General features: G+C 34.8%; 1 protein-coding gene across 9 annotated transcripts in view; it reads right to left on the minus strand.

Moving 5' to 3' along the window:
- The window catches only part of INTS6 (integrator complex subunit 6), a 118,632-nt gene that overhangs the window by 78,150 nt on the left and 27,965 nt on the right, over positions 1–12,517 (minus strand). Inside the window, exons 5-6 of one of the 9 annotated variants that reach the window (NM_001306091.2) lie at positions 10,476–10,536; positions 8,558–8,780 (exon numbers count right to left, since the gene is read on the minus strand). The exons of the other annotated variants lie outside the window; for them this stretch is intronic. The gene's annotated coding sequence lies outside the window, so the exon portion shown is untranslated. The remainder of the gene's footprint in view (positions 1–8,557; positions 8,781–10,475; positions 10,537–12,517) is intronic. 9 annotated transcript variants of the gene reach the window in all.

Consider the following 12,517-nt stretch of genomic DNA (forward strand, 5'->3'; position numbering starts at 1 on the left):
ACACGTGAGCTCTCTCTCTCCCATGGGAGTACTACAGGTAATTCTTGGGAGAATAACCTGTATGTGCAGCTCTCTCCCTCTTAAGGCAACATAATAAAATGGAAAAACCAGAGTGGTTTCATTATAAGGGATACCTGAAGTACTTTAAACTCTTGTTAACAATAAATTACTTGGCACACATTTCACAACATACCAGTATATCCACATTGTGGCTCAGAATCTGATCCAAACAGACTGGAACACCAGCAAATTCATTCATTTACTTTCAATAAAAATTGATAAAGAACTAATGCTATCAAGTGTGCAAAATTCTCCAGAGTAATTAAAGTTATTGACTTGGAAGAAACTAGATCAACTAGTAGGCAACCCTCAGTAGGTAACACTGAAATAAGTGCAGAATTATTTATGTATATAATCAAATGCGAAATTTCGTGATATTTATAAATGCTTCAAAATTTTATTCAGGGTCTGAACAGCAACTGTGTGACTATTATGTGGCAGGTACTGAAGGTATAATGGTAATCAAAAAGAAAGACAGGATAGTCCTTCCTTGTCACTGTGGGACAGAAAGGCAGTCAGACAGTAAGCAAATAAGCACACAAACTACTACTTAATTACACACTATGATAAATACTATAAGAAAAAAGTTTTTTTTTTAAAGGGTCAAAATAGAATCCTATGCACCAGCCTTGACAAATGCAGATCACAGCCTCTGCTGGGTCCCTTACCTGGGTATTTCTTCTCACTAAACCTCCATATCCCATTTAAAATTCAATCTTCCCTGATGGCACAAGTGTCTCTAAGTCTTCTCTAACCCCTGTAAGAAGAATTAGGGGTCTCTCCTTTTTGTATTGTGATAGAGAATAATAAAATCAGTAAAAATTTCTGAGCACTTATCTCATTTAATCATATGACAACCATGAGATGTAGTTATTATCCCCATTGTAAAGATGAGAAAACTGAAACTCAAAATGAGCAAAAAAATTATACCTCTAATAAGTTGCAGAACCAGGAATCAAACTTTGGTTTTTATGACAGAAACACATTCTTTAACATTTTAAATATCTACCTTAAAAGTGAAATGCAAATAGTAGTATGGATTCATGACCTATTTTCTCTTTCAGAAAAAAATATTTCCTAGCTCTGTACTGAAAAAGCCTGAAAATGATGATTAACTCAATGGCAATGCACCCTTTTCTAAAACCCATGCTATGGTTTCCATATACCACGTCCTAATACATGGAACCTGACCTGATTTCAGGTCTGAAGCAAAAATGTACAAGATAAGCTCAGAACAAGCTGTCACACTAGAAAGCAAAGAAGCTTTCAAGCTTACTTTATCACCCCTTTAATTTCTGATAACTGCCCGTCCACATCTAGTCTCTCCTTCCTTCTACTAATTAAACCCCCCAAATTTTAACTGGACTCACAGCCACCCAAGCAGGGATTAGTTTCCACTCTGCCTTACAGCTAAGTGTGGCCAAATTCTAGTTGATGGAGTCTCATTGCAACGTCATTTATGTTTTAGGTCATGCTTATATTAGGAAGCTGTGTGCCTTTACTCCTTCCCACAGGCTGAAATCCAGTTGTATGATGTGCTGTGAAACCAGCATCAACCATTCAGATAAAAGCAAAGATAGAGGAACAAAGTAGAAGAAACCTGGAACCCTAGACAATAGCTTAGAGCAGAACCACTCCACTTCCCTGACTACTACCAGTTCTATCTTTGATGTGAAAGGAAAAGCCTTCTGTATTTTTAAACCAGCTATTTTTGTCCCAATAGAGAAGCTGAACCAATATCCTAAAAAATATACCTTGCCAGAAGCTTTTCAGAATCCTTGAAGGTTCAACTAGTTGTTTGTTAATTTGTTTTTCTTTGTTGCAGAAAATATGCATTCAAAGAGGCACTGTATGTGTGTTAAGGGCAGGAAAGCACCCATTCTAATCAAACTAATGCTAAATCTTTCCGTGATTTAATAAATAGAAAGTTGGTCCCTCCAACATCTAGTCCAACTCTAGTCCCAATTATTCAGATTTGCTTGGATAATGTAGATGGAAAAGAAGCTTAATAAAAGCTTTTTTTAAAGCAAATAAAATTTTAACATTTTTGGTGAAACTGAGTGGGTATTTCTTAAATCCTATTTCTCAAATATAATACAGCCGCAGGTCCTATTCATAACATAACAGACAATAACAAGAAAATATGTAAGTACTATCAGGCCTTTATAGATTCATTTCCGTTTCTTCCTTCTATATATGTATGTATGTAGTTCTTCTATACACACACACACACACACACACACACACACACACACAGTTCTAAGACTCAAGATTGAATTCCTCAACTTCCTTTCTCTCCCTATGATTTCACCGTCCAACAATCCCAATCCCTACTTCTTTCTAATTATTTCCAAGAACAATTCGAAAGTCAAGAATATCCAAACTGAAATGATGCAGTGGAAAAAGGTATACTAAACAGATCTGCCTATCCTAGAATATATAAGAAACTCACAATTAAAGAACTACTGCATTCTGTTATAGCAACTTAATACCCTGACAAGTATGAGAGTTTTTTTTTTTAAAGGAAAGGATGTACTAAATGGCACAGAACCGTTCACTTAAAAAAAAAATTCTTTAAAAATCTCTCTATTTGAAAAATTTCAATCTCACAGAAAAGTTGCAGTGATTGTACTATGAGCTCCAGGGTCCCATTCATCTAGATTCATAGACAGTTTACATTTTGTCACATTTACTTCTTTCTCTTTTATATAATAACAATAATAATAATGGTGATTGATATGGTTTGGCTGTGTCCCCATCCAAATTTCATCTTGAATTGTAACTCCCACAATTCCCACATTTTGTGGGAGAAACCCCCATGGGAGGTAATTAAATCATGGGGATGGGTCTCTGCCATGCTGTTCTCATGATAGGGAATAAGTCTCACAAGATCTGATGGTTTTAAAAACAGGAAGTTTCCCTGCACAAGCTCTCTCTCTTTGCCTGCTGCCACCCATGTAAGACATGACTTGCTCCTCCTTGCCTTCCACCAGGATTGTGAGGCCTCCCCAGCCATGTAGAACTTTAAGTCCATTAAACCTCTTTCTTTTATTAATTGCCCAGTCTCGGGTATGTCTTTACCAGCAGCATGAAAATGGAGTAGTAGAGTAATATATAATTATTAATATTTGACAAACTATTTGAGAGTAAGTTGAGTCACCAAGCCTTTTAGGCCAAATACACACACTTCTGTGCAGATGAACACGGATAAAGCCACGGGAATGAAATTGTCCAAGAGTATGTCAGTAAACGTGTAAGAAAATCTAAAACTAAACCAGTAACACTCAGGGACAGGCAAATACACTAAGGTCAAGGATGGAAATTAAAACAAAACAAAAAGCCAAAGCAGAGCCAGGAAAGTGTAAACACAGAAGTCAAGAGAAGCTTTAAAAAACAGTGTTCAATAGTGCTGGCAAAACATCATGAAAGAAAAACTAAAAAGCAAATTTGGATTTGGAAGATAAGGACATTATTAGTGATCTTATTAACAAAGGTAGAATCAAAAGTCAGACTGTAATAGATTTAAAAGGAGGTAGAGAAGTCAAGGAGATAACAGAAATGATCTCTAAATTTGTTGCAAAAGGAAATAGAGAAGATAGGCACCAGAGAGGAAAATAGTGTGGGTGTATGAGAGTAAAGATACAAGTTCTTCTATTTGTTTCATTCATCTATTTAAAGTGGCTGAACCAGGAAGTCAGAGTTGTACAATCATCACCACTGTCTACTTTCAGAACATTTTGATCACCTGAAAATGAAACCCTTCTATATACATTAGCATCCTACCCTTATCCCAAGCCTCTGGCAACCACTTATTTCTGTTTCTATGGATTTGCCTATTCTAGACACTTCATATAAATGGAAATTTGCATCAAGTAGCCTTTTGTGTCTGGCTTTCACTTAGTTTTCAAGGTTCATCCATGTTGCACTATGTGAGAGAATTGTATTCCTTTTTAAGGCTGAATAATATTCCATTGTATGGATGTATCATATTTTGTTTATCCATTCATCAGGTAATAGACATTTGTGTTGTTTCCACCTTTTGGCTATTATGAATGACATTAATATGATGTTCACTTACAGGTTTTTGTGTAGACATGTTTTCATTTCTTTAGGTATATACCCCAGAATAGAATTATTGGAGTTAGCATAAGGTAACTCTATGTTTAACTTTTTGAAGAACCACCAAACTATTTCCCAAAGCAGCTGCATCATTTTACATCCTCACTAGCAAAGTATGAAGGTTACAGTTTCTCTACATTCTCACCAACATTTGTAACTGTCCATCTTTTTTATTATATGTCATAGTAGGTGTAAACTGCTATCTCATTATGGTTATAATCTGCATTTCCCTCATGACTAATGATGGTGAGCATCTTTTCATGTACTTACTAGCCATTTATGTATCTTCTCTGGAGAAATGTCTAATCAAATCCTTTGACCATTTTTAAATTAGATTGTCTTTTTATTTTTATGTTGTTACAGTTCTTTATATATTCTGGATATCATGCCCTTCACAGATAAATGATTTGCAAATATTTTCTCTCATTCTGTTACTATCTTTTCACTTTCTTGACAGTATCCTTTGAAACAAAAGTTTTTAATTCTGAAGTCCAATTTGTCTAGTTGTTCTTTGTGCTTCTGGTGTCATGTCTAACTAAAACTTGCCTAATCCTAGGTCAGGAAGATTAAGCCTATGTTTTCTTCTAAGTTTTAGCTCTTATATTTGGGTCTTTGATCCATTTTGATCTAACTTTTGCATATAAGGTAGAGGTTCAATTTCATTCTCTTGCATGTGCATGCATATTCAGTTGGCCCAAAACCATTTGCTAAGAAAATTCTTTTTTTTTTTTTTTTTTTTGAGACGGAGTCTTGCTCTGTCACCCAGGCTGGAGTGCAATGGCGCGATCTCAGCTCCCTGCAACCTCCACCGCCCAGGTTCAAGCCATTCTCCTGTCTCAGCCTCCCGAGTAGCTGGGATTACAAGCGCATGCCACCACACCCGGCTAATTTTTTGTATTTTTTAATAGAGATGGGGTTTCACCGGGTTGGCCAGGCTGGTCTCGAACTCCTGAGCTCAGGCAATCCACCTGCCTTGGCCTCCCAAAGTGCTAGGATTACAGGCGTGAGCTACTGCACCCGGCCAGAAAATTATTCTTTTCTCATTAAACTGTCTTAACTCTTGTCAAAAATCGACTGACTATAAATGTATGTGTTTTGCTGCTAGACTCTCAATTCTATCTCACTGACCTATATGACTGTCCTTATGCAGTACAATACTGTTGCTTGTTTTTTTCTTTTAATCCCACACTAGAGTGTAAAGAGCAATGGACCTGAAAAAATAAAACAAACAGTCAAGTCCTAGCTCTGCCTCTTAGGTAGAAATCAGCCTTACTAAGACATTTTCCTCACCGTCACAGAATTGAGAATTACAGGAGATGTGAAATTACCTTGTAAACAATAAAAGTTAAACACTTAAGTTTACACATTTTTTAAAATAATTAAGCTCAACCTCATACATTATTTTAGTAGCCAGGAATAAAAGAAAGTAATACAGTAACAGTCCTTCACAATCTGTTTCTAAGAACAGTGCCTAGGCACATGGTAAGCCCTAAATACATATTTATTGAATGAAATTAACCATTTTCCAATTGTTTTGCATTCTCTTTATTCATTTCCTATAACTGTTAAGATTATGAGGAAACAATTTATAAATTTAAAAGCATCCTATATCAGCTTTTTCTTTAGTATATTTCCTTGAAAAAAAAAAATCAAGTAAATTTCCCTTAGGCTATTTCTAACTTTAATACTATTATCCAATATAAGCAATGAAGAAGGTTCTCCTCATATCATATTTATTAAGGAAAGGAAAATTAAGAAATTCTAGGCAACAAAGCAAGATCCTGTCTCAAAAAAAATTATTAAAGTCAAAGTGAATCCCATAAAACTTAATGCCAACCCAATTATTTATTGTTAGTTCCTATTGTTACACTCCACAGTTAAAAATGTGTATCCTTAGGAATATCCAATGTACATCCAAAAGGAATTTTTGATTAAAAAATCAAAACTTTTTTTTAGCTTCTAGTAGTTTAAGGTCAATATTTGTTCAGAGGAAAGAGCAATCACTTGACAACCTGCAATACTGAAATACTTTCTTCAACAAAGTTTTACCCCAACAAATTGCAAAGGTAAAGTCTTTCTAATTTTTTAACAACTTTATTGAGAAATTCATCCATTTTATGTGTTCAACGAGTTTTAGTAAATTTACAGAGTTGTACAACCATCACCACCATGCAGTTTTAGAACATTTCCAACATCTTAAAAAGATCCCTGTGCCCATTTGCAGTCAGTCTCCCAAACACTTCCAGGCAAGCACTAATCAACTTTATGGACATTCCATATAAATGGAATAATGCTATATGAGGTCCTTTGCATCTAGGGTAATGTTTTTCAAGTTCATCCATGTTGTAGCATGTCACAATTCATTCCTTTTTATTGCTAAATAGCACTCCAAGTTTCTTAATTTTATGTCTGGTATAGTTCAACCTACAATCATGTCCTCTTTTATGAGGAAGTGAAAACAGATGAGGTGCCAAAAAAACCTGCTCTTTGTATAGTCCACGCTACTTCTTTCTAAAATGCAAATCTAATAACTTTCTCCTCTACTAAAATCTCTTCAATCCATAAGGTTCCCATCTGTAAGGTTCAATCTATAAGGTTTTCATCAATCTGTAAGACAAAGTCGAAACTCCTTGGCAGAGAATATAGGACGTGCCATGCCAATCTATCTAGTCTCATTTCCTGCTGCTGTTTTTCTTGAACACTTTGCCAGCTATCAATACTGAGGTACATACAGTTCTCCCAAACTCTCTTCAGTGACCTTTATGTCTTTGCATACATCTACTTCACAAACTTGAATTAACCTTTCAAAATCCAACTCAAGACATTTCCTAGAGCCAGCTCCGGCCTCACTTTCTCAACTGTACCATCTTATTAGCTTGTGCTTTAATAATTTTACATCTTACACTATGCCATAACTGTACCTCTCATATCAAACTCATGAGCCAGTACCTAACCCTGCATCTGAACTTCACTACTGTTCAATAAGCATCTGTTCACTTTAACTGAATACTCTCTACTAGTGGTGTTCTACCCACTTCATAAAGGAAAAATCAATTCCATAAAGTCCACTCTCTAAAACTAATGTGAAAAGGATCTAACAGAAGTAGTACAATACAACTCCAAGGTCTAGAACAGTAGTCTACAAAACAGGGTATACACCAGCGATCAGCAAACTATAGCCCACCAACCAAATCCAGCCCAGAGCCTATTTTTTGTAAATAAAATTTTATTGAACACGGCCACTCTCACTCATTTAACATACTGTCTATGGCTGCTTTTGCCCTCCAACAGTGGAATAGTTCCAGTACACACTATACAGGCTGAAAAACCTAAAATGTTCACTATCTGGCCCTTCAAAGAAAATGTTTGCTGACCCCTAGTATAAATCATGATCCATGTTATTCAAGAAGCAAAGATCAGAATTTCCTTTGTATAAATTTTTTCCTCTCATCTTTTTAAAGTTCTATTTTAATATATGTTTTTAACATAATAATATTAATGCAGTAGTCACATATATAATTTCTAAATTTAAAAATGTGCATACACTGGGAATGGTACATACTTAATTTTTTTTTTTTTTTACTAATATAGGTGGTTCATTTAAAAAAAAAAAGTTAAGTCTTAGGACAAGCTTTAGCATTTAAATTTAGTAATCAACGTTATTAGCAATCAATGTTATTACATGAATAACTGAGTTCTGTGAGTGCTTCAAATCACAGAGAAAGAGGCCCAGAATTAAACTTTTTCCAAAATACTCAAAACATCTCTGGAGAATCTTTTTCTGGTGCTAAAAATGTCATTGAAATGATGCAGGTAGTACTAATATTCTTCAACAGAATGCAATAAAATACGAGCTACATAAATCCAAACTTGGTTCAAAGGTAGCTATGTTTTTTTAAAAAAGGTTATTATAACAGACAAAGCAAATGCAAACTTATCCTTCCAAACCCTGATAATTGGTAATACCAAATAACTGGTATCTAATAAATATACAAATCAAGAGAATACCTTGCTAGCTAAATTAAAAAAAAAAAAAAAAAACTATCCATACTTAACAACCAAGTGCAATTTTGTAACCAAAGTGTTCCTTAGCTATGATAGCAAGGCTATTTCGGTCTAAGACAACAGATACTAACCTAAAGCTGTGAAGAGCCCCAGGAAATACCGAGTTCCTCACTTACAGATCTTAAGCTTAGCAAGGTGGTTCTACTAACTCAAAAGCTGGGGTCTGATAATCATCATCAACCAATTTATAAGCTCAAAGTTAATTACCAATTGAACCTGGATTTATCAGTTTAGGGTTGTCATTCTATGTTGAATCAGATTCTCCAACAAATAGTCATAGCCCCCAGAGAGAACTACACTCTACTCTGCTCACCTTTAAGGCTTTTTCTGAGGCCTTCCGAGATGACTAGCATCAGACTTTTGAGGAAGGCTAGCCATTAGACAAGGCTTTTCCCCACGATCTGACTGCTTGAAGTGACATCCAGGATCAGGTCGATCCTGTATCCAGGAATCATGACCCTCCCTGAGGCACCAGTCATCATGAGACAGTCAGTGCACTTTAGCACTTCTTGAAAACCACTGGGCTGCTCCTTTAGCTGAAAGGAAAAAAAACATCAAAACCACAACAAACAAAACAAAGGGGGAAAAATCAGTAATTCAATCTGAAAAGACAGAGCGTGGGGAAAAATATACCAAAACAGCCTTGTCTAGATCAAAATGCAGCCTTGCCTTGATGTAAAGCCCATAGTTTCAATGTCTTTCTAGTCACTGCACTAAGGTTATTCCTAATATAAAAGTCTAAAAAGTTTAATATCTACAGTATTACATCTGAAAAGAACAAGTGAAAGTGGAAGTTAAATAAAATCACTATGGAAATACAGCTAAATAAGTATTATCAAGGTATTTATAAATGACTAGCAGCCTAAGGGTTATTTACAAGAGAGTGCACCATCAGAAAACCACATACTCAACATTTTCATTCTCTCAAAATTGAAATCTGACATGGAGAAGCATGAAACACCCAAATAGGCTAAGTTTAACAGAAAAGTGCCAATCTATTAAATAAAAAATTAGGCTAGTATCCTCTGACTTACTTGACACCAGTACACAGAGTAAAACACACACACACACTGCTCTTAACCTAGCATTCTGTAGAATTTTCAATGTTTGCTTGAAATAAGCAATTTTAAATGTTCATATCATATGTCCTTAAATTTCAAACAAACTTTAAAAGCTGATTTAACGCTTATTTATTTAAATCTGCTTCAAAGTAAAAAAAAAATTTAACTATCAGAATCTGCTCATTTCAATTTTTAAATACAAAATATTTTCCTAAAACATAATGTTAAAAGGCAAGAAAAAGTCTTTGAGGTAATTGTTTTAAATGTTAAATTATAAATCCTTTAAAACATCCTTACACGAAAGGTAATGATACTTTGTCTGTCAATTACTTTACCTTCCTTTCTCCTCCTTTATTTTTTATCACCCACATCTCAGTTAACACTACCAAATATCCACATAGATGCCCAAGTTGGAAAGTGGAAAATAATACTAAACCAGTATATTTTTACTTATTTGAGAATATGATTAAAGCTATGGATCTCTTTACCCAGAAAAAAGTTCATGCACACAGATGGACAATGTGTAGACAGGATGTCAGGGAATTCACAGAACTCTCCTCAGACCAAGCATGGACCCTAGGTTCAGGGCTCCTGTCAAATACTTTGCCTTTTTTCTCCTATCTTACAAATCATCTTTGAAAACCTGCCTAGCTTACCTACCGAACCTCTCAGAATTCTGCCTTCCTGTCCAGCACTAGCTAAGTTTTGGCATTCCCCATATCTTCTAGGTTGTTACATGTAGTTTGCTAACTCTTCCCATCTTACCACCCTCCAGTCTACCTTTCACCTTGCTGGCACAGTAATCTTACTAAAATGCAAATCTGATCATGTGACTCACCTGCTTAAAATCTTCAATACCTTCCCTGCAAATGCTAACAGAATGAAGTCCTGTCTCCTTAGGGTGCTATTACCTGCCCTCTACCTACATTTCAAGCTTCTACTCTTCCTACCTATACTTTCCATACTCCAGGTGTACAATTTATAATCTCCTGATACACTGTTTTCAAGTCTTCATGCTTTTGCATACTGTTTTCTCTTCCTGATATGTCATGGCTCAATTCCTTACTCTTCCCTCAAAACTTTACTCCTTTCTTTACGCTGTCTCAGAACCTTCTGTTTATTTCTGCCATGAGATTTATCTTAATGTATTACAAATGTTTATTTACTTGCCTGTCTTCAAAGATAATACGTTTTCTAGCCTTGCTTAATTCCATCTGTGTGTCCCCAGTACCTAGAACATAAATATAGAACTAAATATAAACGTATGGAGCTGCCGCTATTCTTATACACAGCCAAAGTAACTATGTATCACAAGGAAAACTGTTGCTGAATTAATTTAAAATATACTTTCACAATTCAAAATCTAACGAATTCATTCTGGAAGGGTATTTTTGCAGCAACTGTCTAGAAAATTAAGTGTAACTATCACCAATTCTTTATAAACTGCTCTCATCTGGTAAGGTAGGGGGTGTGTGTGTGTGTGCATGTGTGTGTGTATAATGCTAATTACATGGACATCCAAATCAGGAATTATGGCTTAGTAAGGATACCAGAATACTATACCATCCTTTGGATAAAAATTCCTAAGCCAGGGATAAGAAACACATGACAGATAATATAAATTAACTGCTCTTCTCTTCTTAGCCTCTCTCCTCATATATGGGGTCTAAGGAGAGTCCTCAATATAGCACACTGTAAGCAGTAACTGCAGATTGACTGCAGTCAGCACAGAAGTTAATTTTTGGGGGCTATTCAATAACTTATTCTAAAATATCAAGCAAATTAGAAATTATCCTATTAAAAATATTCACAGAAGGCCAGTTCCATATCCCTTGGAAACCCGTTCCCAAATTTAACAATTCTAAAGGTCAAGAATTATTTTTATCCTAAAAAAATACTTTTTGGTGGCCTTCTAAGTCAAAAACATTTCTAACTTTCTAACCTGTTTTGTTAAAGTTGTTCATTTTCACATGCTTTTTGTGTAGCTTAAAAAAAATTGTGGTTAGATTGTGTTCTAAAACTATAGTTTCTAAATTTGACTGTACATCAGAATCACATGAGACACTGTAAAAATACAGATTCCCAGGTCCTTACCCAGATCAACTGAAACAAAATTTCCAGAATAAGAACAAAGGCATGTGTATTCTATAAGGCACACCAGGTGATTTTGATGCAGCCTGCAGCCATTTCAAAGCTACTGTTCTAAATACCACAGTACTTTATATATATAAGAGCTAGAATTGGATAATAGAAACATCTCTAAATAAAATTTTCCTTACATATGTAGACTCTCTTATTGCTTATTGGTTCTAACAGGCTAATAAACACAGGGTGAAATTGCTTCACCCTCTGAATAAAAACTATTTTGATATATCTTAACAAAGAATTCTAGATAGCGGATTAGTTACTGTGGCCATACAGCTTTGTTAGAATGATCAACCAGCATTTCTTTTAAATTTCTCCATTGTTGTGTTTGCCTAGAAGTACTGAAGAGTCTTTCTTACTACATGATCTTGAAAAAAAGTATATCAATAAGAGTACTGCAAATGTAAATTGCTGAAAACTTACTATATTAAATTGAAATATTTCATCAACTTCTTTAATTATGCATTATTATAATTACATATTTTTAAACTACTAATAATTGCAGATGTATATATTCCTATAACATACCAGCAGTAATAAATCCAGGGGTTGAGAGAACAGGGCCAAAAATATGAGTAGAAAAAGAAATACAAATGGTCTACATTCAACAAATTCTTATTAAATGTTCTTAGAAAGATGAATTGACAGAGACTAACATATACAGTAGTGTTATGCATGTATTTAGAACATCTGAATCGCAAATCAGTAAGACAAGAGCTAATCTTCAGATTTTTACTGAGTCCCTAGTAATATCACTATGAAGAGGCTACTACAGGATAAACATGAAAATTCAAACACATGTAACACAGATAAAATGTTTTATATTTTCTATCACACCACTGTGGCATCCCTCAAAATTCCTTACAGATCTTTTCAAAAAAGAGAAAGTTCTCCAAAATTCTAAGTGTCTTAGGAAAAGCAACTATTTTAAATATATATTTAAAAGTATACAATGAAATCAGAGTTTTGACACCCTAAGGCAAATATTTTTAGTGATTTTAGTGAATAAAAACATTTTATGGGAGGTAGGGGAGGGAGCTGTGGTTTTTTAATCATTTCAGATACTA

Source organism: Homo sapiens, chromosome 13 (assembly GCF_000001405.40).
Source record: "Homo sapiens chromosome 13, GRCh38.p14 Primary Assembly".
Taxonomy (NCBI): domain Eukaryota; kingdom Metazoa; phylum Chordata; class Mammalia; order Primates; family Hominidae; genus Homo; species Homo sapiens.